This window comes from Homo sapiens, chromosome 6, assembly GCF_000001405.40.
Source record: "Homo sapiens chromosome 6, GRCh38.p14 Primary Assembly".
Lineage (NCBI taxonomy): Eukaryota > Metazoa > Chordata > Mammalia > Primates > Hominidae > Homo > Homo sapiens.
In genome coordinates, this window is record NC_000006.12 from 18,581,082 (window position 1) to 18,608,668 (window position 27,587).

At 41.7% G+C, this 27,587-nt stretch overlaps 1 long non-coding RNA gene across 1 annotated transcript in view, besides 1 other annotated feature; it reads left to right on the forward strand.

The window, feature by feature from the left end:
- Positions 1 to 27,587, forward strand: part of MIR548A1HG (MIR548A1 host gene) — a 200,152-nt gene that overhangs the window by 58,335 nt on the left and 114,230 nt on the right. The window contains exon 4 of the long non-coding RNA NR_149116.1: positions 9,894 to 10,011. This is a non-coding gene — a long non-coding RNA (MIR548A1 host gene). The remainder of the gene's footprint in view (positions 1 to 9,893; positions 10,012 to 27,587) is intronic.
- Positions 3,478 to 4,677: an enhancer, noted in NCBI's record as "CDK7 strongly-dependent group 2 enhancer chr6:18584790-18585989 (GRCh37/hg19 assembly coordinates)". NCBI's record gives its function as "activates an origin of replication core promoter dependent on BRD2, BRD4, P300/CBP, MED14 and CDK7 cofactors, with strong dependence on CDK7, by STARR-seq in HCT116 cells {active_cell/tissue: HCT116}" and the evidence as "EXISTENCE:reporter gene assay evidence [ECO:0000049][PMID:35650434]".

Below are 27,587 nucleotides of genomic sequence, written 5' to 3' on the forward strand. Positions count from 1 at the left end.
CCTGAGCATCCATTTTTTCTCAGTGCAGGTTCCTGTTACTTGAGGTTTTCTTACAGCCATGATGACTGAAAAAACCAGATGAGATAGTGAGGATATGGAGCTTCATGACTTTTTACTTAGCACTGCCCAGACCAAAGTCAGCCAGAGAAACAACATCGAGCTGAATCTGAAAGCTCTCTTGAATACACAGTCTTTATGGATGGCTTATTCTTTTAATTTGTTTCTGCATTCTTCATCTGTGTTCCTAATACCTCACAAATTTCCTTCCAGATCTTCCCCTGTGGTAGAGCTAATTGGAAAATGTGCAACTTATAGCTATCCTGTATTCATTTACATGGATTTTTTTCTTGTTGTAATGCCATCACTATAAGGTTTGGATCCTATTGCCAGGGAAAATCTTAGTTTAAGCCCTAACCTAATTTATACCTCATTCTATAGTAATGATTTTTCTCTTTGTTCTCATTCTCTTTTTCTCTCCTCAAGGTGTTTCCTTCCTTCCTTCCTCCCTCCCTCCCTCCCCCACTTCTCTCTCTCTCTTTCTTTCTTTCTTTCTTTCTTTCTTTCTTTCTTTCTTTCTTTCTTTCTTTCTTTCTCTTTCTTTCTTTTTCTTTCTTCTTTTTCTTGGTCTCACTCTCTCACCCAGACCGGACTGCAGTGACACAATCTCAGCTTACCACAACCTCTGCCTCCCAGGCTCAAGCTATTCTCCTGCCTCAGCCTCCCAAGTAGCTGGGATTACAGGTGCATGCCACTACTGCCTGGCTAATTTTTGTATTTTTAGTAGAGACAGGGTTTCACCATATTGGCCAGGCGGGTCTTGAACTCCTGACCTCAAATGATCTACCCACCTCTGCCTCCCAAATTGTTGGGATTACAGGCATGAGCCACTGGGCCTGGCCTGTTCTCTAGTTTCTACTGGATTTATTAGTGAAACTCTTCAGTGCCTTCCCCACTTCCTAAAGCTACAGGTTATATGGGTGAGGGGACACTTGAGATGAATATGGAAGACCTAGTATTATTTAGCCAGGTGAACAAGAGTTAAAATATCAATTCAGACAGAGCATGGGCATGAAATACTATGGAGGTATTAACCCTTTCTTCCACTTAGAAAAAAAATAGTGCATCTCATTGCCAGCTCTCATTTAATTTTACATAAACACACTCTTTGAGGCTGAAGCAAATCTGACTGATTTTCAATGTAAAAATAAAATATAAAAACTGTTCTTAAAGTTATTTCTAAACAGAACAAACATCAGAATCGTCTGAATCATTGGGATCGTCTATTTCGGAAAAATCGGATTCATCAAATGAATATTCGGCCAACGACCGCTTGAGAACGATGTTAACATCACGTGTAGGAATGTTACGTTTTCTAGGAGTTGACATTTTCAGCGATCGAAAATTACTATATTTTGTAATGGAAATACTACTACTAAAACCAGAATGCTGTAAATAGAATGATGTCTTTTGTTGCCAAAGTCAATATACTAGAGTGATGTGAAAATAATAATAAAGGTGAGATAGTTCATGGCAAAGTTATCTTGGAGTAAATGCTGCAGCTGCCATACTGCCAGTGACTCTGGGACCATGGGGAAAGTAAGGGAAATACAGGTAATTTGATATGGAGAGAGTGTGTATTTGGACTGGAGGTGTCTTAAGGCCTCACTCCTGGGTGCTGGGGCTGGTTTCCTTGGCTGTTGGTTGAGTTACAACGTGGAATAGAATTGTAAGGGTTTCTAAGAATTAGTGTAGGATGTTCATTCCCAAAGCAAACACAAAATCCAAGAACTGGGGGATTAATCTAAGTCAAAGTCAGTTAGAAGAAAGTCTAGATTTAACAGAAAGATAGACTCTAGACACCAGACTCAGAAGGCCTGAAGTGGGATCAGGTTGGAGTCATAGAGCCAGGGGAAGAGGAGATTGGAGCAGAGTCAGGTATGGATCAGGTAAGAGGGCTGGGGTTCATCCAGAGAGAGAGCTCTAGAACCCAATGGGTATTTGTGTCTTGTCTTTATGAACTGGTGGATTCAAAAAGGGACCATGGTGGCTGGATGTGGTGGTTCACACCTGTAATCCCAGCACTTTGGGAGGCCAAGGCGGGTGGATCACCTGAAGTCAGGAGTTCAAGACCAGGCTGGCCAACATGCTGAAACCCTGTCTCTACTAAAAATATAAAAATTAGCTGGGCATGGTGGCACTCACCTGTAATCCCAGCTACTCGGGAGGCTGAGGCACAAGACTTGCTTGAACCCAGGAGGTGGAGGTTGCAGTGAGTCCAGATAGTGCCACTGCACTCCAGCTTGGGCGACAGAGTGAGACTCTGTCTCACAAAAAAAAAAAAAAAAAAAAAAAAAAAAAGGACCATGGTGGGATTAGGTTGGGTTACTGGCCTAGGGCAGGGATATAGGAGATAAGACTGGTAAGAGAGCTAAAGATCACACCATGGAGAAGTTTTGGCTAAGGGACTTACAACTTATTTTATAGGCCATGCATATAGAGTAAGTAAAGGATCTTAAACAGGAATGAGGAATGGTCTGATTTACATGGATGGTGGCCTTCAAGTGAGTGTAGGGAGACTGGACTGGAGGAGAATGAGACAGGAGGCAGGACAGTCCACTGGAGAAGAGGCCACTGCAGTTGTGTAGGTGAGAGAAGAGGGAGCCAGCCCAGGGCCGGTGGTGGGATAATGAGCATTGAACATTTACTGGAGGGCGGGGAAATTGATGGTACTGATATGTACCCCCGAGGGTGGGGTAGATTCAAAAGCATCTTTGTCTTGTTGTATGTATGATGTGAAGGGAAAGCCGACTAATAGATTTCTAGGTGGTTGGTGTTATCAGCAGCAGAGGCAGAGAGGTCCAAGGGGGAGAAGTTTTCCTGAGGAACATGTTGAGTTTAGCTTTGGACATGATACTTTTGTGGCTCCCACAGGATAGCGAGGTGCAGAGATTGGCAGATCATTGGAACTGCAAGTCAAAAACGACAGTAGGGGAGAACACAGAGATACTGATTTGATGATGCTGTCAGAGAAGAGATGCTCTAATCCAGAGAGAACATAGTAAAAACAGGGTAAAGATGAATCCCAGAGGAGAGTGTTTAGTGTTATTAACCCGGATTTTAGGTTAAAGATATGAGAGAAAACATCTGGAAAGAAGGAGAGGCAATGGCACCAAGGGCCAGAATGGATGAATTGGTCTTGAATGAGAGAGGAAGCACCTTCATCTACTTGGTTTACAGAAACAGGTATATACTTTAATAGGTGCTGGGTCAAAATGTTGAGGGAACTCATCACATAAGTAAGAAATGTTGTTTTTTACCATTCACTAAAATAGGGGTAAGCAAACTATTTTTCTGAAAAGCTGGATAGCCAATAGTTTAGGCTTTGTGGGCCCTAGAGTCTCTGTCACAACTTACTATTCTCGTTATAGCATAAAAGCAGCCATATACGTTAAACAAATGGTGTGTTCTAATAAAACTTTATTTAAAACAGGTGGTGGGCTGAATTTAGCCTGTAAGCCAAAGTGTGTTGACCCCTGTATAAGAGGGTTGAGACCTGGGCTGAAGGTTTGAAGTGAGTGTCAGAGGTTTGGCTTTGTCTTTGCAAAAAAATGGGAGAGGGTGAGTGCCAATCAGAGATAAGGAAGAGGATAAGGTGGAACGGCCGAGTGACATTAGAAAGGATGGGTGGGCTGGGACTCCATTTACATTGTTTGCTAGTCTCCAGTGATCCAGAGTTACTCCCTCTCTGCAATCCCAGAGCATTGCTTATATTTCTGGCTAATCAGGGGTGTCCCTCCCCCTAAACTGTGGGCATTTTGAGAGCAAGGTCCTTGTTTTATGCATTTTTTAAATAGCCTGATTTTCCTCATTTTCCAGCTTAAAGATCACTTTCTTTAACTGTAGACATTTGTCCCTCACTTCCCTGGGACACAGTGAGAGCCATTTCCCAAACCTGGACTGCAAATGCCAGGCCTCTCTCACTTCATGTTGAGTCCACCCAGGCTTGTGTCACCCTTTGAGGGCTGGTGACTAATGTGGTGACTGTTAGCCAGTCAGAGAAGCTGAAGTCATGTAGCAATTACGGCTCTACACACACACACACACCCCCACTGTTTTATCTGTCCCCCTTTATCTCCCCCCATCTTCCTGTCATTGGAACAAAAAAATTTTCTGACTTCACATGGCCAGCACAGCTGTCCAACTGACTGAACACACAGAAGCAAATGAAGTCAGTGGAAGAATGAGTCACCACACAGCAGTGTCTTTTACACTCGCCTCCACCCTCCCCCACCTGCTCCTGACTTGGGATTGACTGCTCCGGAACTAGCACTTCACCCCCTCTCCAAGGGCAATGTGCACGGAAGAGCCCTTTTGAGAGAGGAAGTAACTCACTTGGCAAATTTGTTGTTCATTCCTGGTCCACCTAGTTCAGTAACATCATTAAGATCCAATGAGGAGATAGTGGGGCTTAAGGGGCATAGACAATTGAGCAGCCTAGTGGTGTTTAAATATTTTCTAGAAAAAAGACAAACAGTATACAATTTAAGAACCACATCCATACATTTAGTTATAGCCTGATAATGTTTCTTGAGTCATCACACGGAGTGAATCTATAACCAGGAAAACACATAGGAACCAACGCTAATCTTATTCCTGAAGTTGTCCGTATGAATTCATGAGAAGTCCTGAAAGTAAGCATCTTGCAGGGCAAATGGCACTGCCTGATCCTCTAAGCTGAGGTTGGTAGTTTTCATCATGATGGTTTTATTTGGATCAGTGTTGGCATGGATTTAAAATTTATGAGTCTAGATCTTCAATAATAATAATATCAATGATATGATTAACAAGCAATTTCTTTTCTTGCTGCGATCCCTGTTTTTCTGTTGTGAATTTCTCCTATCTTGAGGATGATGTGATCACAAAATGGGAACCTTAGACTGGTTGATATTTGTCTTATTCTCATGTCGACTACATTTTCTGCTTTTTTGTGCCATTGGTCAACCATCTAATCATAGCCCTTGGATCTTCCTCTTTCAAAGTTCTCTTTCCTCTTCTTTGTAATAGACCTCCCAGGGGACTGTGCTTGGATTCTCAGGCCAAGGAGGAGAGAAATAGACAAGACTGAAGCTGGAGGAGCAGCTGCTGGTTCACCCGCTGCCAAGACTTGGCAGCAGGTTCCTGGGGAAGCAGTAGGCACCTGGTTCACACAGGACCAGCACAGCTGGTCCAGCTTTTGACTGGCAGAGCGTGGCTTCCTTCGTCACCAAAGTGACTGGCCCTGTGATTTTGCTACAGCCTGCCGAAACCGAGAGGGACACAGTGAAAGCCGTACACCTCCGCGAAGCAGGTGCAAGTCACATTTCACTAATGAACAATGGGCACTTTGCACACAGGAGGCTTTGATCTGAATGCTAAAAAGCCCTTCTGTTGGACAGGCTGTTGGCTGAGGTAGGCAGCAGTGAGAAGCATTGGGAAGGATTCTCTATCCAAGAAAGTTGGTGCAAGAGCTGTCATCAAATAATACTTGCAGAGGCAAACACTCTCATTCTCAGGAATTTCCTTGGAGGAAAGCAATGTGTTTATGGGGGTAAAATGTTCATGAAACCATAGATCCCCATGATTGACAGATATAGTCCAGACCTCCATTTATGCCCCTACCACCCATGACCACCATATCAGTACGATCTCTTTGCCTACCCCATGCTTAAATATTTCTGATAAACATGGATCCTGGTAATTCTATTAGTCCATCAATCAATGGATTCTATATTTGGACCATCCCCCAAATGAATAAAATATTTCTTCCATATTAAACTTAAGTCTGTCTTCTACCTATTAGTTTTAGTTTTGTCTCATGGAGTGATACGGGACAATTCATCTTGAGAAAGAGGGCATCCATTTGGGAGCCTTTCAGGTATTTGAAAGCCACTCTCGTGTCTTCCAGCAAATGTTAATAGGGTATCTTTTAATAAAAGAACAAAAGTAAATACATTTATAAATAGAAATAAAATAAGATAAATGGGTACTTTTATGTACTAAATGGTACCTTTCCCCTCCACAGTGATTTCAAAGGCTCCATCCAAATATATTGTCTCCTCCCCTAAAAAAATCAGCATAATTGCAGGCTTTTTACAATGCAAAAGATCTTAGAGATCATCTTGTCTAAGCCTTCATTTCACAGATGGGGACCCAGAGGCTTATCAAGGTGACAGTAATTTAGAGTTGAGACAAGAGGCCAAGCCAGCATAGGGGTTGTTTCTGTAGGTCTTGTTGCCCTGATGATGTCTGTGATCAAGTGCAAGAGTGACTCTGATTCCATGCAAATTATCCATTCCACTCTTTAAGCACATAGGACTTCCATTGTCTCACTTTACTTTCTCTACAACCTGCTCTCAAAGGATAATCTGATCTGAGGCATCATGTGAATTTCAGCCTATGGGTTTCTATTCTTGTGAATATTTGAATTCATTCCTCTCACTTTTCATTGAGAAGTGTAGTGTTGAGTAAGGGATTTGAGGCCTCGTAAAGCAGACGAGGGAGGGGCATTTAGGGAGAGAGTAAGGAGGGTGTGTCTGTACGAGGATTAGGTCTTCTTGGGGCAAGGACCAGGGTATTTCCAAGTCTGTAAGGACATATTTGGTATTACCAATGCCAGATAAACAGGATCGTATTTTGTCCATGTGAATCCTATGGCCAGTACTGACGAGTCTAGAGGCAAACCCCAAAGAAGGACCAGCACAAGCAAAATATTGTTCAAAAGCTGACTATGGGTTGGGTGTGGTGGCTCATACCTGTAATCCCAGCACTTTGGGAGGCTGAGGCGGGCAGATCACGAGGTCAGGAGATTGAGACCATCCTGGTCAACATGAAGGAACCCTGTCTCTACTAAAAATACAAAAATTAGCCGGGTGTGTTGGCGGGCGCCTGTAGTCCTAGATACTCAGGAGGCTTAGGCAGGAGAATCACTTGAACCTGGGAGGCGGGTGTTGCAGTGAGCCGAGATCGCACCACTGCACTCCAGCCTGGGTGACAGAGACTCCATCTCAAAGAAACAAAACAAAACAAAACAAAACAAAACAAAACAAAACACTGACTATGCTGGAGCCAGAGAGGTTCAAGGCAGTGAGAATAGAATCACATGGTCATCGTCCATGGAGCTGTATAGCAGAGCAACATGGCTACAGACACTGCACCTGAGCCCAGTAAATATCATGCCAGAGGCAGAGGAAAAGGAGGAAAAGGCCTAACTGGACATGTGCAGTTGAGAGACGGTTATTCAGTATTGAGGCTTACAAGGAGAAGGGTGTGCGTGTGGAGTAGGAAAGGATATATGAAGATACCCTGAAGGAAAGGTAGAGAGACATGGGTTCAAAGCCTCATGTGGGAAAGCTTTGAGCCATTGTGTGAGCAAGGATCTTTGTGCCTGGGAAGGCTTTCTGTATTTCCATTCTTGGGTAGGCCCAGAACAAGTGGGAATATAACATTTCAGAGAGACAAACATCACTGTTTTCCAATTCTGGATCAAATCTTGGAAGATAAACTTGTTTGGGTGGATAGTCTACAGTAGACTGACTGACTCCAGTGGTTACTCTGCCACCTAATGAGCTGCTTCTCCTCTTTGGAGCTGGCTCAGGACCCAAACAGCATCAAACCCAGAGCTATCAGGCCTTTGAGAATTAGCTGAACAGGGGCTAGGAAAAGCAGGGAATGATATTACAGGTGTTGACAGCTGCACATTTTCCTATTTTTCTCTTTTTCTCACCTTATCAAAACAGATCTGTCCTATGCATCATAATCCCTGGACCTAGCTGTTTGTTAAGGAACTAATCAATTAATTTTGCAGGAACATTATGACTAACTAGAGTATAATGTCATTATCAGAACACATTTGGCATAGATGTGGGAATGGAAATGAAAAGTGAATTTACTCAGAGGAATGGGAAAACGGGATCAGGGTGTATGTGAGTGTGCATGTGTGTCTATGAGAGGCAGAGAGAGAGGGAGAGGGAGAATTAATAAACTTAAGAAAATGATTCCTCCATAAGAACTGGAGTTCTGGAGTTCCTCTGGCATGATACTTCCTGGGCTCAGGTGCAGTGTCTGTAGCTATGTTGCTCTGTTATACAGCTCCATGGATGATGACCATGTGATTCTATTCTCACTGCCTTGAACCTCTCTGGCTCCAGCATAGTCAGTTTTTTTTGTTTTTTGTTTTGTTTTTTTTTAGATGGAGTCTGTCTCTGTCACCCAGGCTGGAGTGCAGTGTCACGATCTCGGTTCACTGCAACATCTGCCTCCCAGGTTCAAGGCTGAAGATATATTACAGATCTCTCTCTGTCTCTTCAAGCTCTGCACTCTTCTTTACCCCCCAGATATTATTGCTCTCCAGGGGTTTGCCATGGGAATAGATTTCCCCACTGCTAATAGGTTTCATGACTGCCCTACCCCTTAGCGATCTTCTTTTGCCTAATCAATTACATTTGATCGGGGGATTATATTTTTTATTTTTATTTTTTGTTTGAAATTGCCATTTTGAATTCAGTTGATATTTGCCTCCGTTTAAAAAAGAAATTTTTGGCCTGGCGTAGTGGCTCACACCTGTAATCCCAGCACTTTGGGAGGCTGAGGCAGGCGGATCGTTTGAGTCCAGAAGTTCGAGACCAGCCAGGGTGACATGGTGAAACCCTGTCTCTACCAAAAATAGAAAGATTAGTCAGCTGTGGTCGTGCACATCTGTAGTCCCAGCTACTCGAGAGGCTGAGGTGGGAGGATCACTTGAGCCCAGGAGCTGAGATCGCACCACTGCACTCCAGCCTGGGTGACAGAGTGAGATCCTGTCTTGAAGTAAAAGTAAATAAATAAACAAATATAAAGGAGAAGATTTTGAGGCTGTAAACTTTCCCTTCACTAGTTTTAGCACTTTAAAAATGCATCACTGAGTCGGCAGTGTGCAGTTTTGCTGTTTCCTTTTATTTTTGGAGTGAACTCTGCTCTTCATTCAAAATTGTCATAGTAAATTTGGGCCCATGAACTCCTAAATATCTCTGCTTTTCTACCTCTTGGTGAGTCACATGCACTGCTTTCTTAGACTTTAAGTTGATGAATGCCAAATCTTTTTCTCCTGGTTTTCTCAGAGAGATTGGGAAGGGGTGGGAATGGTGTTTAGATGTCCTCACAGATTTTACTTTTACTGCTAAACTTTTCATTTCAAAATTTTCTGCCACTTGATGTTACTTCATCCATTTTTAGGGGGTCTCTTTCTCAATTATTTTTATTTCTGCTTTGCTATTGTTGGAAAGTTTGCAGGGGGATTTTCAACCTTTATCCTGATGTTTTGCAATTGGTATTTTTATATTGTTTTGAAATTTGTAATTCGAGTTTTGTTGCAATCCCAAGTTGCATAAATGGCATCCAGCCCTCAGGATTGAGGCTTACAAATAATTTAGATTCATGTTTTGAGCCAGTTCACCTTCATTTTCATCAGAGAGCTCATGGGTTCAAGTGGGTAAGCAGATGAATGCGCCCAAAAGTCTTCCTCATTCATTTTGCACTCACTGGTCAGTTTCTCATTCTTCCTTCAACATGGTTCTGCTTGGCTCTGGTTGCCCTGACAGAGAATTTGGGGACAATTAGAGAAGAGCCCTGAAATCCATTGCATGATGAAAGCAAAATTCCAGGAAGAGCATATTTCATTTTCATGGTAAAGTGGGGAGTGGGTGAAGCGAGTCAGAGTAGAGTGAGGTCGATTGCCCACCCACTGAGCTCTAGTCTCATGTTGTACAAAAAATTATCCTCGGGTTTTTGAGCTTTGAGGTGCCTCCCACCCCAGAATCCCTCTAGCATTTATTGCTCATTTCTCTCCTCTGTTAATTGGAATGTTTTCTATATTCTAGGCTCCAATCAGCTTAAAGTCCTTGCAAAGAAAGAAATTGTGCCCTGTCTCTCAGCGTCGACCATAGCAGAGAGCCTGGGACATGAATGGGTGTCATTATTTATCTGCTGAACAAATAGGTAAATATGTTTCTTTGTTCCCAATGCAATATATGGTAGGCATTCAATAAATGTTTATTAACAATTACTAATAACATATTTAAACCCACTGGCCATTTATACAGCTCCACACTTTTTTGTTCCATGTGAAGCCTGCCCATTTTTCCTTGATTATTCATAATTCTTGATTTTGTTTTTTGGAAACAAGTAAAAAACAACTGGGATTGTTCTTTTTTTTTTTTTTTTTTTTTTAGCAGAGCTTATGAGAGCTGGACTGACAGGCTTAATACCACATTGGGGATGTATTTACTAACAAACTTGGCTAAGATAAATATTAGCTCTGAGACTGTTAGGAGGAAGACGGAAAGTCATCAGTTTATTGTATGTGTGCCAAGAATCGGCTTACCTTGAAACTTTCTGTGATGTGGTCCCATTCATTGATCAGTTAATCAGGCAGCTCACTGCTAGAATTTCTGTTTTACTTCATGTCGTGTAGACCCAGAAAAGGTATGTTTTCTTGCCTATCTTGATAGTAGGTAATTCAGGCTAACTCAGTGTTATCCTTGAAAATATCATGATCACTAGAATAGAAAATCATAAGATGAGCACTTTATCTGAGGTTCCCAAGACTTGTTTACTGGAAGCTAGATGGTGTAAAATGCAGTGCTTTGGAGAATTCTGTTACGAGGTAATCTCCTTGTGTTTCAAATGGTGACACAGCTGCTGTTCTTATCTTTTAGTGTACGTGTCTCCCCTTTTCATTTTGTGTCCCCACCTTCCCCAATCAAATCCTCTTTCAAGCAAAACCTGAAACATGGCTGTCATCTTCTTGGATGAATTTGAAATTCAATTGTAAATTACATCATTAGGCCTATCTGTAGAATTTTGGGTTGTGGGAATAATGAAGAAATAATAAAGAAGTAGTACTCTGAGTACCTGGCACATAGTAGGCGTGCAATAGCTGTGAGCTTCGTAAATGAATATTCGTGCTGAAAACACAACTATAGAAACATAGGCAGCAGCCAAGAATCGTTACCTGCAGACCAAATTCAAGTGCCTCCGTGACACGAAGGATTAAAGGTGACAAAATGCTGTGTGTAGGAAGTAATCCCAGATTGATGAAGGCGGCCCTTCTGAAACCCAGAGAGAGTCTTCCAGAATACATGGAGCTAAGTGGACTCCATGTGAACTTTAAGTAAGTAGTGGTTATGGCTGGAACCATGCAAAGGACACACTGATCTCAAAGTCTTGTTCATCTTTTTTGGCCAAGCTTTTGTTCTTCTTTATATTAAATGTTTTACAACCTTGAGGAGTAGAAAAGCAATATTTTTCAGGAAAATGAGCGCTGAAACTAAAGCATTAACCAAGGATCTCCTCAATTTTCTAATGGTCTCATTGTGCTCTCACACATTGCATCTAGTTTTTGTTGTTGTTGTTGTTGTTGTTGCTATTTTTCTCTAGATTATTTAAAAATCAAGTGAAAAACTAACTTTGCTTTTTTTAGGCGGAGAGGAGTGAATCCCTCGTTCTGATGTTATATTTCTTCAGTTGATCAGTGGAAGATGCTCTCACTCTCCTGCCCACCAGTTTCACTCAAAACCAGTCTTTGCCATTGCTAAATAACAAGTATCTTCATTGTAATTGTACAGGGCCAGATAGAAAGATTGGCTCTGGACCTTGTGCCCCAAGGACCAATAAAGTTGCAGTCATTCAGAAATAGTTCCAGAGCCAAAGCTTCCCTATTTAAAGTGCCTACATCCAATTCTTTAGAGTTAAGCTTGGTACCATTAGTTGAGTCTTCCTGTCACCTCTCAAGGGACAGTGGCAAGCTCTTATGTAGCATTTGTCCTAATTTTCTTGCTGGTATCAATGTCCCCAGAACTTTCCCTTCAGTTGTGTGGGAAGGTACTTCTTTCTTTGTTCTGCCTCTAGTTCCTGGAATGATTTGAACGTCTGTTGCATGCACAGTATGGGCTTTCTTCTGAATCAGGCTTTTTCACCCTGACTTTGTTCTTCTTTTTTTTTTTTTTTTTTGAGATGGAGTCTTGCTTTGTTGCCCAGACTGTAGTGCAGTGGCATGATCTCGGCTCACTGCGACCTCAACCTCCCGGGTTCAAGTGATTCTCCTGCCTCAGCCTCCTGGGTAGGTAGGATTACAGGCACATGCCACCACGCCTGGATAATTTTTGTATTTTTAGTTGACATGGGGTTTTGCCATGTTGGTCAGGCTGGTCTTGAACTCCTGACCTCAGGTGATCCACCTGCCTCAGCCTCCCAAAGTGCTAGTATTACAGGCATGAGCCACCACACCTGGCCTGTTCTTTGTTTTAAGCAGTGGCTACAGAACACTATACAAATAGATGGAAACATTCAGCTTGATTCCAAAATTACTTGTCCATTCTCACTTCCCATTATTCCCTTTCAAGCAGGATTATTTTTTCCTGTCTATGACTCTCAAATTATCGTCTGTGAATTGGAGCCTTTGCTCACATGGTTAACTCTGTCTGGAAGGTCTTCCTCCAACTTTGCATGTTTAAGTTTCTAAACATTTTACAGTGATCAGCTACTAGCCCACCTTCTCCATGAAATCCTTCTGGATGTTTGTAGCTGGAGATACACTCTCCCTTCTTTGCACCCCTACATCTATTCAATAGTATGTTGTGCCAATAGTGTTTATGTCTTGGTGGACCTAGGCTGCCACATTTTTGGAGGCAGGACTTTGCTTCCTTGAGGTTGGTTTCCAACCAAGAACCCTCTTAGAGAAGTTGCTCAAAAAGGTTTATTCAGGCCAGGTGCAGTGGCTCATGCCTGTAATCCCAGCACTTTGGGAGGCTGAGGCTGGTGGATCACCTGAGGTCAGGAGTACCAGACCAGCCTGGCCAACATGGTGAAACTCCGTCTCTACTGAAAATACAGAAATTAGCCGGCGTAGTGGCAGGCGCCTGTAGTCCCAGCTACTTGAGAGGCTGAGGCAGGAGAATCACTTAAACCTGGGAGGTGGAGGTTGCAGTGAGCTGAGATCAGGCCACTGCACTCCAGCCTGGGTGACAGAGCCAGACTCCATCTCAAAAAAAAGAAAAAAAAAAAAAGAAAAAAAGAAGCAGATGTGTTTGTAGGTGCATGTCTGTGCTTTGGAGAAAACTTAAGTTGAAGTTTTGGAAACTGGTTTGAAAAATAACAGTAACCTCATAGTATATGTAGTCAATTATTTCATGCAAAGTATTCTATGTCCTGGGAATAGATGTCTTGGTGTTCTCTAAAACCTGAGAGATATGTCGCCCCTCTAAGTTTTGCTTCAATTCAAATTTCCTAGAGTTACAGCTAGGCCCCTCAGGAGCTGACTCATGATTGCTGTTCACCTTTATTAATTTTTCTGGCACTGAAACATGTACTTTGAGTTTTTTTTTTGTTTCTAAAAGTACATAGTCACATCAGAGAACTTTCTCCGACTTCTTTCCCCTCAGTATCCTCTGTTCCAAAGTATTTTCATAGTGGAAGGTAGCAGTTCTATACCCTCAAAGTTAAATTTAATTGCTATTTCATAAACTTCCAATGCAATTCTCTTTTCTTCTTTGGAAATAGGGGATCTTTATGGCACAAACCTTTCTAGTGATTAGCAAAATTTCAGTAGTAAATTTACATATAAATAAATTTGATTCAGAAAAGCCATGCACTGCACATAATAAAGTGATTTATAACAGGAAAATCTAAAGAACTAAAACACAGACTCTGCCCTCAAGGAACTCAAGGCAGCAACTATGACAGATACATTTTTAAAAAAGAAACATAGTCCTGTGTCATATGTATACAATATAGCTATTAATAAAGAATATAAAAAATGAAGCATTTAAGAGTCTCACAAGAATATTGTCATAATTAGTGAGATACTGTGGAGACACCTTCATGAAACTGAAGGTCCATTTCTGTTTAATGGGGATATCAATGGTCATTGCATAGTAGGCCTCTTTTATGAAATAAATAAGTTAACAGGGCTAAGGCCTTTAAATACTGGCTGGTACATGTTAAGCTGTCAATATGTGCTAGCTACTTTCAATGGTCATTTCTTGTTGCTATGAGCTATTTCAAAGCTCTTCATAAATAGATGATAATGCCACCATTTCCCAAGTAGGGAGAAAGACTTGGTAATAATAGTTATTCAAACTATATAGAATACGTTGCAATAAAGGATTATGCCACCTAGAACTGTGGAGTTATCACTATTGAGAAAAAGAATTCCGGGTCTTTTTTTTTTCCCCCATTACAACTCAACTAAAAAAAGAGACCCTTAGTGTAAAACATGTAGCCTGCACACAAAAACATGTCTGATTGACTTTCAAAGACTCACATAAATTAAACATCTCTTGGATAACATCAAACCTAACCAGTTAGTTCCCAGGTCTCTATATAAATTGCCACATAACTTTGTGCCAAAATGAATGATGGTGGCTGTGTCTCCTGGATGACCAAAATCAGACTTAAGGAGTGAAAAAATAAACTGAGCACATTCTTTATTGCCACATCAACAAAATGAAACAAAATGATTACTTATTTTTGGGGGGTTATGTTGATGACAGATATTGTAGGCATATCCACTCACTCTCAATTTATTTTTAAACACCCAGCACAGTCGGGGTTACACAGTGAGGAAAAGTCCAGCTGAGTGACCTCGGAACAGTTGCTACCAATGCCAGACATCAATTTCACCCTCTTAGATCAGAATATACCTCTCTTGTTCCTTCCTGAACTAAAAAGCTACCACCTAAAGAACGTAATTATATTGTGGATACAATGATTTGGCATTCATTTCAAAGTTTCTTTTAAAGGAATAGTTTAAAGTGTGTGTGTTACAAAGTGCAGAGCATTGCTCAATGTTGATTTGTCAAACGATGACAATTTAGCCCTTGAAACAAACGTTTCCCAAAATAACAGCATTTGGGAAACTTTGAGCTCTATTTCAGTCCTTTCAGAGAAACTGAGAGGTCTTTCACATTCTGAAGGCAGAACACTGAGTAATAGAAGAAACGAGAAGTCCTCTGTCTCCATCCCTCTGCCTGGGGACCCACTGGACTATTATTAGCATGGGATACAAAATAGATTTGGTAAATATTGGAAAAGTCTTGCCAAGCAGCGTCTCAAAGACATATGGTCTTTTGTAAGTGCCATGATCATTATAAACAAGCAAGATGTTCTAATTAAGGAAAAGTCTTTGTAAGGCAACTTGTTTTACAACTTAGCATTGAGGTTCCAAATTAGATAGGCAAAACTTTGGGGGTTGGGTAACCCCTATTCCTTCTTCCAGGCGGACTCTTTAAGACTGAACCAGAAAGCTGCCATCTCTACTTTGACCACTAGAGGGAGGGCAACTACGTGAAATTGCTCAGCGAGGAGGCGGTTTCTCCAATCCACGCAGTCACCCTTCCCTTCTCTCCTCTGTCTTCCCAACAAATCAACCAGCGGTAGAAAAAGATCTTTAGCTTTTTGAGAGAAGGAGAATGTAGGGAATGTGTTTCATCAATGCATATCAGCCCTCTCTTTCAACTTTAGTTGGGGTTATAGTGTGGGTATTACTTTTTCATTTTTACAAACCTCTCTAAACAAAGTACAGATTTGGTGGAATGAGGGAATAAATGGCCAGTCTTCTGAGTCCTGTCTTGTGGAGTGTGCCTGGATTTTCTACTATAAAATGATCTCTTTTGGGTTGTCATTAATCTTTATAATGATTTCATGGGATAAAGGTTGGACTAGAAGAACTTTGATAACTCTTGCAAGCCCAAAATTCTGATTCTGTATCCTTCAACTGGGGTATGAACTTGTCAAGGGTAAGTAAGTAAGTAAGGGTAAGTAAGTATAAGTAGGTGTTACTTATAACACCTACTGCTAAGGCCAATCCCTTATCAGATGCTCACTAAGGAGTCAATGATTGATGAGACTGGTCGGTTTATATGATTACTTGCCATCTAGAAGCACTCATAAAGAATGGGACATAGTTTTTATGCTCAAGATGTATATTGTCTCAAATTTTTTTTTAACTTGTTGAAGCTTAGGACAGTAGTGGTTAAACAAAATGCTTATAAATAGTACTCCTTTTCTTCTCTCTGTAACCTCCTCCCCTGGTATGTACAAATACATACCCATCACAGGCAATATACCCCACACACCAAATACACACACATGAGCACACACACATTCAGGTTCTAAGGCAAAAATCTTTCCCAAAAGACAGTATGCTAGAAAACAAGCAATTGTGGGGACGATAGTCTTCCTTATCCTCCTAAAGCAATAAGGAGTACAATAAATAAGAAAACAGAACTATTTATGATTCACTACAGAAAGAGGTGTTTGTAAGTCTTTTATAGCACCATATAATTATAATCATAAAAGGCAGAGACTTAGAAATAATTCAGAGATGATAGTGATGTTAGAAATCAGCCCTCCTCTTTGGGTTCTTGTTTCTTTGAGACAGGGTCTTGCTCTCTCACTCAGGCTGAAGTGCAGTGGTGCGACCCTAGTTCACTGCAGCCTCGACTTCCCAGGCTCAAGCAATGCTTCCACCTCAGCCTCCCAAGTAGGTGGGACCACAGGTGTGCACCACCATGCCCTGCTAATTTTTGTGTGTTTAGTAGAGACAGGGTCACACCATGCTGTCCAATATGGTATTGAACTCCTGGGCTCAAGTGATCCTCCTGCTTGGGCCTCCCAAAGTGCGGGGATTATAAGTATGAACCACCACACTGGCCTTTTTTTTTTTTTTTTTTTTTTTTCTTCGAAGCAGTAAACCGATGCTGAGGAGCTACACAGGTAGTTATTGGTGTGTGGGGACCACAATGTAGGTCTTTTTGCTCCAAGTCCATTCTGTTATATTTTGCAGTAGAAATATCTGTGCAAGGCCGGGGGTAGTGGCTCATGCCTGTAATCCCAGCATTTTGGGAGGCCGAGGAGGGCGGATCACGAAGTCAAGAGATCGAGACCATCCTGCCCAACATGGTGAAACCCTGTCTCTATTAAAAATACAAAAATTAGCTGAGTGTGGTGGCGCAAGCCTGTAGTCCCAGCTACTCGGGAGGCTGAGGCAGGAGAATTGCTTGAACCCTGGAGGTAGAGGTTGCAGTGAGCCGAGATGGCGCCAATGCACTCCAGCCTGGTGACGGAGCGAGACTCCATCTCAAAAAAAAAAAAAGATCTGTGCAAGCTGTCCCTAGCATTGAGAAGCTGATCTTTCTATTAGGTTCTGAAAGCCAAACTATATAAGTAACAAGAATCTGGAAAGGAAGTTCAGTTGGAAAATATTGCCAAATAAAAAATGAACTAGGACATAAAAAGTAAGCCTTCCCTAAAGAGAAGAATTCTAATAGGAACAAAAAAATGCCTAAAAATAAACTATGAAATGGCTTTATTGTTACTAATTTAGAGCCATTAGTAACAAACATGTAGACACTAAGTAAATGCATGGTTTATATCTTGCTTTTGATTGAACCACAGGAAGAACTATGAATGAGGACATAGAACAGGCTTGAGGCTGCTGTCTTTAATTTGATACTGCCCCTTTAACATAAAGAATGTAAAAATTATCAAAACCTACCACAGTAATCTGAATACTAATAATAGAGTTGCTGTCTGTGTTTGGTGAGACTACAAATTCAATTAATTCCAATGCTGGTTCCAATAAGCTCTTTATGAGTCTAAAGGGATTATTAACACTGTGAAGTCTGAAAGATTGAATCACAATAACAATTTCTTGCAAGATTTTTGAAGCTTTGAGCAGGCTTGCTTTCATGGAAATAATAATCTGTTAACCTAATGCAGTAGACGGAGCAAGCAGGAGAGAGGGAGCAAAGGAATGAGGGATAAAAGGTGGAGAGGGGAATCACATGTCTCATTCTGATTCATCTGCCAAGTCAAAGTCTGAGCTCAGTGCCAATGTCAGGTTTGTTTGTTTGGTTTTTTTTTTTTTTTTTTTTTTTTGGCTGACCCCAAAAGGATGAGTTTCGTTTAGGATCCATTTTGTAAGACTGGGATATTTGACAAAGACTGAATAAGGCTGGGATCTTTTTGAAGTCCACGTGTGCAACTGTAAATAAACTGACTTGGTCTCTATCTAGGCACCTAGACTGGGCAATGTGTCTAATTGGCAGACATGGTGCTGGTGGTGGTGGCACTAGTGGTGGCAGGGAAGCGTCATTCCATAATCTGGTAGTAGAAAAAAAATAACAAATTATTTGAGAATGCCCTTCAAAAGAAGTAGGAGCTAAGTCTCTACTGGTTTGTTAAGTGATTAATTTAGGTCTAAATATTACATTATCATGGGCAAAATACTTCCACACAGTCAGGGTTCAACACAGTCTTCACTCATTTATGGCTAGAGGCAAACCTCATCCTTAGCCCGAGTCTGTACTTTTGTTTTATTTAAAATACATTCAAGGTTTTCATAAATTCAAGGCCTGAATTGAATGACTCTTCTATTTCACCAGAAGCTATGGGGGCCCATATTTTTCCAGTGTCTTATTACGTGGTGTTAGAGTCGTGCTATCCTTGCTATAAAAATACCTTCTCGGCCTGGCACGGTGGCTCACGCCTGTAATCCCAGCAGTTTGGGAGGCTGAGGCAGCTGGATCACCTGAAGTCAGGAGTTTGAGACCAGCCTGGCCAACATGGTGAAACTCCGTCTCTACTAAAAATAGAAAATTAGCCAGGTGTGGTGGCGCGCACCTGTAAACCCAGCTACTAGGCTGAGGCAGGAGAATCGCTTGAACCCGGGAGATGGAGGTTGCAGTGAGCTGAGATCATGCCATTGCACTATAGCCTGGGCAAAAACAGCAAAACTCCAAAAAAAAAAAAGAAAGAAAGAAAATACCTTCTGCAACCATATTGTCACATTTCCTTCTCTCAGCCTTTGCAAATGTATAGATCACATCGCCCTGGGCTGGGATGGGGTTTCTCCTGCTCTACTTTTATAGGAGTCTGAGCTATTTCTTTAGCCCCCTGGTCCCAAGGACAGGTCTCAGGGCATGCCTCCACCCTGGCTGACTGGCCACGTACTGACATAGTCATTGGTCCTGTCTCTCTTTTCTGGTCTTGATAACTCTCCAGGCTTCTCTACCAATACTACCAATTTGCCACCAATTAATCTGTGCCCAGGGTTGAGATGACCCCTCATCTGCTGCTCTGTGGACGTCTCGTGTGTCATCTGTTCTGATCCACAATGTCTGGGAACTGCTCCTCAGTCCACTGGAAACTGTTGGGAGTTTCCTCCCCTAGTGAGGGAAGGGATGGCAGAGCCTGCAGGCAGCAAGCTATTTGAATGACCGTTTCTTAAATACAACAAGCCCTTTCTTTACGCCCTTTCCTGTTTCTCTGCTTCCCAAAGACTCCTTTGCTGTATCTATCCAGGATGAAAGTGTTGCCTCAGGCACCTCAAAGATCATTAAAGTGAAAAGCCAGGGAGGGGAGGGGAGCTTTGAAAATCCTATTGCTCCACCCTTCACTCTGGCCAGTACTGTGGGTCACACAGACCTCACTGATGTCCCTGTGTTTTCTCTCCCATCATCTGTCTTTCTTCCTGGTGTGGGGCAGTCATGGAGCTGGGTGGGTCGGCCAGAGGGAGTAGGAAAGCATTGCCCGAATGTGGAACCGCTTTCTTACAATGCCTTTATTTTGAGCCATAGGGAGGGTTATGGGAATTAAAAATACCCACTATCCCTTGTAAGGTAGAAATGTTATATTTGGGCAAGTTTGACAAATGATGAGAAGGGAAAATGAAAGTGGGGATAGTAAGAAAACAGACTTCTTGGCACTAAGATTTCTTGGGTCTTGGGCAGCGCAGTTAGATCAGCCTGCTTTGCTAGGCTGTGGGCCTTCTGGTTTCTCATAGGAGAGTCAGCTTTTGTCACTGCATTTTTATTCTGGTCCCAGGAATCAGAGAATGGAGGAGGAGAATTGCTCACATGCCACGTGGGCTCCCTCATTTTCATCTGGAAACAGTTGTAGGAGCCATTTCAGCATCTCCTGGCTCTTGTTCGTTCAAAGTCCTAGGAAGAGAAGAGGGAGGAATATGAAACCAGAGGGGGAGACTCTGTGTACCCCCAGAGGCTGCCTGCCCATGGAAGGCTGTCCCATGGGCAATGCCATCCATGAGTGATCTTCTCTGCACCCTTAACTGAAAGATCCTGGAGTTGAAAAGACCCCAGCATCATGATTGTTGGGAAAAGCATGAACATTTAAAGTGTCCAGAAGGCCAGGGGAATATATGAACTATGTGAACAATAAAGTCAAGAAATAGAGAATTGAAGCAAAAACTGTTTAGGCAATCCCTGAAGCCCACCTTCGAAAAAGCCGTTACTTGGAATGACTTGACTACCCATTGCTGTCTACCTGGTCTTGAGCTGGAGTTGCTCTCAGTGAGCCAGGAAAAGAAATAACCTTAAATCCGGGGCAGAGCATAAGTTGTGTGCTTGGTCTCAGCCTGGCTGGTGATTCCAGTGGCCAAGAGGACAGGACAGAGTTTGGAAGAGAGGAAGAGTGCCGAGTAGGACGGGGTGCCAAGGAGATGCTGCTGGCGATGGAGCAGCTGGCATCTTGCTCTCACTGAGATTGTCTGGCCCAGGAGGATCCTAATTACAGCACAACTGCTGCCTCCATAATCACTGTGACAGGAGCAGTGTGGGCCGGAAGGAGATGTGAGATGGAGCTGGTGGCTGCTGAAGAGGATGTTGGAATCATTGTTCTTTGCTGGGGCTTCAAAGGGGGCTGCTGCCAGCTGCCTGCTAAGGTTGAAACAGCTGCCACCAAAAAAGGGGCCAGCCCTTCCTGCCTCATCTCCAGAGGATGCACCAGCTCCAGCCTGCAGGTCTGCCTCCGGGCCCTCTGGCTAGAGGGGGATGGCAGGCTTCCAGATAGGCCTTTGAGTAGTTCTGTTTATGGGAGGCTAGAGGGAGAATTCAACAGTATGGTGAGGGGGTTCCGAAGAGCTGGCTGGGAAATGAACCCAGGTTAAAAAACAACAAAATAATACACTTCTATGGAATTATCCTCAAATCAGAGAAAAGAACTGTGAAATTAATCATTTGAGGATACTGTTTAGGTGATCTTCTGGAGTCGTGTCATCAAGGAAAAACAAATCCCTTCCTCAGCCCTCATGCTTCATCTGAGATTTTTTTGTTTGTCTGTCTGGCAAAGTCCCAGGTTTAAGGGTGAAAAGTCTCCTGAATGGTGACACGAACAGTACCCTTGAGGCCACCTTTCCAATGGAGTGTGAGAATTAGCTGGGGGCATCAGAGATAAACCAGGGGTGTCAGAACTGGGGTGAAATGCATGCCAGTGGGAAGGGAGGCAATTGTGGAGACGGATGTATGCCCTGCTTTGATTTGCCTGTTTTGCTTGGCTTTCAGAAAAATACCAAGACTGGCCCCTTTCAGGGAATTCCAATAAGGCAGTGGTGTTCTCTGCAAGCTTTTACCAGGTTTTTTGACTTTTGATACTAAGGAAACTTCTGGAAGAAGAAAAGGCATAATGCATTTGTTGGCCAGTCATGTTCCCCTTGGGAGACAGGCAACTGGTTACAATGGCGCTGACATGTGGAAGAGTGAGCTGCTGATGCTCAGAATGGGCTCGCTAAGGGAGAATCCTTGCACAGTCCTAGAATTTAATAGCTTCTTCCTCCACTTGATTCAGCACAGCACCCATTTTATTGAGCCTCTGGTTCCAATGCATTACATCATCATACTATTTCCTATTGCAGTATGTTGGGCCTTCAGGCTCCTGTGTGTCAAGCCAGTCATTCTCATGTAGTCTTTTCGGGATCTGGGATTTAGCTCTAGATTATGGCTCCTTTTCAGTTGCTTCACTAGATAATAGAACAAAAGTGGCAAAGCTGGGAGGCTGAGATGTCCACATCCTAATTCTTTGTATAAAAAGCTACTTTATATTTTGAGGGAGGAAACTTTTGTTTCCCAGGCTTTTCTGTTTATTCCTTACAAATCCTTTTCACTTAGTTTATAAGACCAAATGTGACTCTAATAACCATTCCCCTTGAAAAGCAGCCAGTGACAGCATCTCTCACATGTTGTTATCAGAGACTGCAATTTCACCATGAACTTCTAGTTGAGCCTTTGGAGAGCATTTGGAAGAAAAGGGGACTCAAGTTTCTTTTCCACACTTCTGGTAGTATTGTAGACCCTGATTTTTGACATTCGCGGTAGCCATCAGAGAGATTTGGGCTTTGGATAGGGAGGTGGAACTGGAATTTGGAAAGGGGTAGAAGAACCATTTTAATGTGCTGTCACTGCTATAACATTTCATATATCTTCCAGCTTTAAAAATTACAGAATCATTAGAATGATGATATATTAGGCGAATTGGGCATGGTTTGACTGCAATATGTTAGGCTGCATGGCAGCTGGTTTTTCTCTTAAATGATAATCGAAACAAAGAATCTCAAAGAAGACAAGAATAGAATGGCTGTTGGCATTTTAATGAGTGTCGTTTTGGAAACAATAATTAGAATCTTTGCCGCTGTATTCAGGGGGCAAAGATTAATTGAGTAAATAACACCATATACATATATATAGCTTATGGCTGGCCCCAGTGCACCATGAATCAGCTACTATGTGTTCACACATGGAATCATTTATGGCCCTTCGAGTAGGGGGAATGGAAACCATGCAGCCTGGATGGTGTGCTGTTGACATGAACCATTGGAAAGTGTTATTTTCTTCCTCTGGGTATTAGAATCTCCCCACCCCCACACTTGCCCAGTATGGTTTTGGCATTGACTACTAAGGATGGGGTTGAGGATAGAGGTGGATGTCTCCCTGTTCCCCAGATTCACATACAGACCACTCAGACTAATTTAGTTTCCTATAACTTCAAAACTTTGTTTTACATCTAGGCTAAATAAATTACGTAAAGAATTATGTGATTACTTATTGTGTTGTTTTGTTGTGCTTTAATTGGCTTTGTACATACATCTTAAATGTGTGTATACACATTTTTATCATAGCTGATCAAACAGTTGATTTAGTATGGTGTTAACTTGATATTTAATATAATCAAAGTGTTGAACAATAGGTGAAGTTATATAAACTAGTGTATACACATGTGGATTAATATATAGACATTACTACTAATATTTATGAATGCAAAAATGCTCAATATATGACATTAAGTACCAAGATGAGAATACAAAACTATATATTACAGTGATCTCATATCTGTCAAAATATTGCAGAGGAAACAAACATATAGAAAATATGCCAAAGTATGAATAGTGGTTATCTGTTGGTAGTGAGATTGCAGTTGATTTTTCTTTTCTGAAAAACATTTTCTACAATAAACACAATTTTTAAAATCAGAAAGGTATTTTTATTCTAGAACTTTCTCTTGGACAATTTTTAATAAAAATATTTTTTATAATAAAAATAGTTATAACATGGATTTTTAAAAATTTATGTAGCATTGAATATAAGTATTTCCTTTACACCTGCTCAAAGAGTTGACTGAATATATCTAAATAAAATTGGGGAACCAGGCTCTGATCAGGAACATACCACTATTAGAAAATAGTTTCTAAAAAAAATATGGTCTGAGGATATTTTTACTCTCATTGCCTTCTGTAGGCACATAATCTGCCAGGAATTGGGGGCCTGCCAGGGGGCTTAACAAATGAGGTTTATAAGCCTTTCTTCAGTTCATATTGGTAGCACTTCCTTACTAAGATGTAAATACCATGGCTGGTGAAGTGGAGCCGTTAGCATTGCGAAGTATATTGGGGGATTTGAAGAAAGGGTCAGGAGAACCATCATGGGCTATGATTGCAGATCAAAGGCAGGAGATGCTCTTTTCTCCATCCTCTGAAAAGATAGGAAATATTAGCTGTTCATAGGTGGAGAAGAGAAAATCCTCTTGCTTTAAGAGCTGACCACACAATGTCTTTTGTAGGAAAGTGCTATTGTTTGGCTTGACCATTTTGCTTGGGTAAAGAAAGCTGTTATGGCCAGGATGATCTGAGCAAGAGAAGTCTTACTTGAATGACTCTCAGTGAGAATCAGATGGGACATTTGGAGTATAGGAGCAAGTGTAGTAGGGAGGAGAGAGAAGGAGGAGGAGATTAGGGGTGTGGGTATGGTTAACAATGTAGAGTCTTAATAGAAGACAAAAAATTCTGTAGTCATGATAGAGTGATGGTGATATTTGACAGCTGCAGGACTTTTAAGAAGAGGAGCAGGAATTTCTCTTCTGCTAGTGTGTGCTACATTATACAGAACCATCCCACCTCCTCAGCCAATGTGACCTAGAATTTTCAGTAAAGAGTCTGCTATGTGCCATGGCCATGTGTCAGTAGTCGTTTTGCAAAATAAAAAAGAAGGGGTTGCATCCCATGAATGAGTTGACATAAAAAAGAGAGAGGGGGATGACCACAAGAAGAGAGACATTAGGATTTTGGTATAGAATTGGAGCCAAAGACGTCAATATAAAACATAAGCCTCCCGAGGGTCCCCAGAAATACTGAGAGGCTTGCTGGGCTCCCTGCTGCATTTAGAATAAGGTTTGAAACAATTTGATCAGAATCTCAAAGGCAGAATCACCCCAGTTGACATCTGTGTTACATTTGTACTTTTGCAAAAGCAGATATTTAATAGGGAATACTTTCAGGTTAATTGACTAATTGATTTTGGCTAACCAAATGCCTAGTTCAGGAATAGCTCAGTCCAAAGTTTGGACATTTATCAGGTCCAAGTAGGTTTAGTCTTTCACTGCTTGGTTTAAGTGATACAATTTGTAGTTGAGACTTGCAATTGTCAATTATCTGTTCTCCTGGCAATATTTTAAAAAGCAGGCATGGGAAGAAAATAACCATAAAGACATTTAATCAGTTAGAAGAATGGGGATTATTTCTCCCTACTGGGTGATGTTTTCCAAAAAGTCTTCAGAGAGTTTAAGCTGATTAATATCTGTCACATCAAAACCGCATAATTGCAATTCAGCCTATTAGAATGCCCATATCTTATGGCACAGGGCACAGCAATCAACTTGTCACCAAAATTCCATTCGTTTATTACTCAAACAAATAAGAGAGCAGAATTGGATATTATGCATGCTGGTAGTGATTTTTGGGGCTTTTATTTTTCCCTTAGTAATTGAAGTGTTAGATCCGGGATATTTCCAAGTGTAAAAGCCAAATCCATGAGTATGGCAATGGAACACATCCTGGTATCAGCTATTAATCAAGGTACTGAAAAGTGATGGCAAGAGACCTCATTTTGGACACTTCAGTTTCTTATTCATGAATTCAGAGGATTTTCTTTTTTTAAATGTCTTTTTCCCCCCTCTGTCCTCTGTTTTTTATTAGATGATCTCATTTTATTGGGACCAACTAGGAAAAATGAGTACATAGGGATTATCTGTGCTTAAAAATGCACATTTATGGAAGTGTAATTTCAGGTTGAAGTATTATTAGACAAACTAAATATGGCATACTAAAAAAGGAGTAGAGAGTAGGAGGTTTGGCTTTAGTTTATACTTTATTTCTTGCCAGCTCTGGGATGTTGGGCAAGTCACTTAGCTTTTCAGTCCCTCACTTATCTAATCTACTGGATGGGGATAATGATATATGTCCTACCTGCAGACACAGGATTGAACTAAATGACAACCTCCCTGCCCTATCTATACAGCACTTTCCCTCCAGAGCTCCTTACCCCACTTTATTTTTATTCATAGCATTTATCACTACCTGACCTTTTACTATGTATATGCTTGATTTTTTTATTATCTGTTGATCCAAATAGAAAGTCAGCTCCATGAAAACAGAGCTCTCTCTGTGTTATTGCCAGTACTAGCGCAGTGACTCACATATAGTGTATGATCAATAAATATTTGCTGGAAAGACAAATTCTAGCTCTAAGACCTAGGATTATAAAACAGAAAACAGAATCCGGTATAGTCTGGTGGTTAAGCTCAGTTGTCAAGATGCCATAGTTCAAATCTCAGCTCCATCATTTCTGGTTGTGTGACCTTGGGTAAGTTACTTAGCTCTTTAGGGCTTCAATTTTAGCTTTTGTCACAGGTAATATGGACCTAATAATATGCCTCATAACTCAAAGTTGTTAAATAAATACAATAATTCATGTAAAGTAATCAGCACAGGATCTGAGTTTAGGTCACTTGTTGCTATGCGTGTCTGGGTTCACAAAGCATCGACTCACCTTTTCCAAGCTAGGATGAAAAAATTCAGTGGTATCCCAGAGAAGACTTACAATGACAAATGTTTGTTGTTGTTTTATAATGATACCATCTCCTAGTAATCCAATTTTTAAGATGTAGTTATGTTTGCATTTTTGAGGTGGGAGAACAGACTGAAAGTTCTTTTACCGGATGACCTCCTGTCACTATCTTATGGTCTTACTGCATGGTTAAAGTGACAATCAGGATGGGGACAGGCCAAGTTGAAGTAGGTTATGAATTATTTTGAGGCCTGTTGGCTGTTCTTGCGTTGCTATAAAAAATACCTGAGACTGGGTAATTTATAAAGAAAATAGGTTTACTTGGCTCATGATTCTGCAGGCTCTACAGGAAGCATAGTGCTGGCATCTGCTTCTGGAGAGGCATCAGGAAGCTTACAATCATGGAAGAAAGTGAAGGGGGAGCAGGCATCTCACATGGCAAGAGAAGGAGCAAGAGAGGAAGAAGGGAGAAGGGGAGGTACCACATACTTATAAACAACCAGATCTTGCAATAACTCACCACCAAGGAGATGGGCTAAGCCATTCATGAAGGATATGCTCCCATGATCCACTCACCTCCCACCTGGCCCTACCTCCAATACCTGGGATTACAATTCAATGTGAGATTGGTGGAGACAACATCCAGTTGATATCATTCTGTCCCGGGTCCCACAAATCTCACTTCCTTCTCACATTCCAAAATACCATCATCCTTTTCCAATAGTTCCCCAAAGGTCTCAACTCATTTCAGCATCACTCAAAAGTCCAAAGTCCAAAGTCTCATCTGAGACAAGGCAAGTCCCCTTCCACCTACAAGCCTGTAAAATAAAAAAAACAAGTTGTTTACTTCCAAGATACAATGGGGGAACAGGCATTTGGTAAACATTCCCATTTCAAAAGGGAGAAATGGGCTAAAAGAAAGGGTCTACAGTACCCACACAAGTCTAGAACCCAGCAGGGCAGTCATTAAATTATAAAACTCCAAAGTAATCTCCTTTGACTCCATGTCCCATATCCAGGGCACACTAGTGTGAGGGGTGGGCTCCCATGGCCTTGGGCAGCTCTGCCTCTGTGGCTTTTCCATGCTGAGCTTGCAAGCTGTTGGTGAATCTACCATTCTGCGATCTGGAAGGCAGCAGTCCCTTTCCCATAGCTCCACTAAGCAGTGCGCAGTGAGGGAGTCTATGTGAGGGCTCCAACCCCACACTTCCCCTTGGCACTGCCCTTGTAGAGTTTTTCTGTGAGAGTTCTTCCCCTGCAACAGGCTTCTGCCTGGCCACCCAGGCTTTCTCATAAATTCTCTAAAATCTAGTTGGAGACTGCCAAGCCTCCTTCACTCTTGCACTCTGTGCACCTGAAGACTTAACACCACATGGAAGCCAT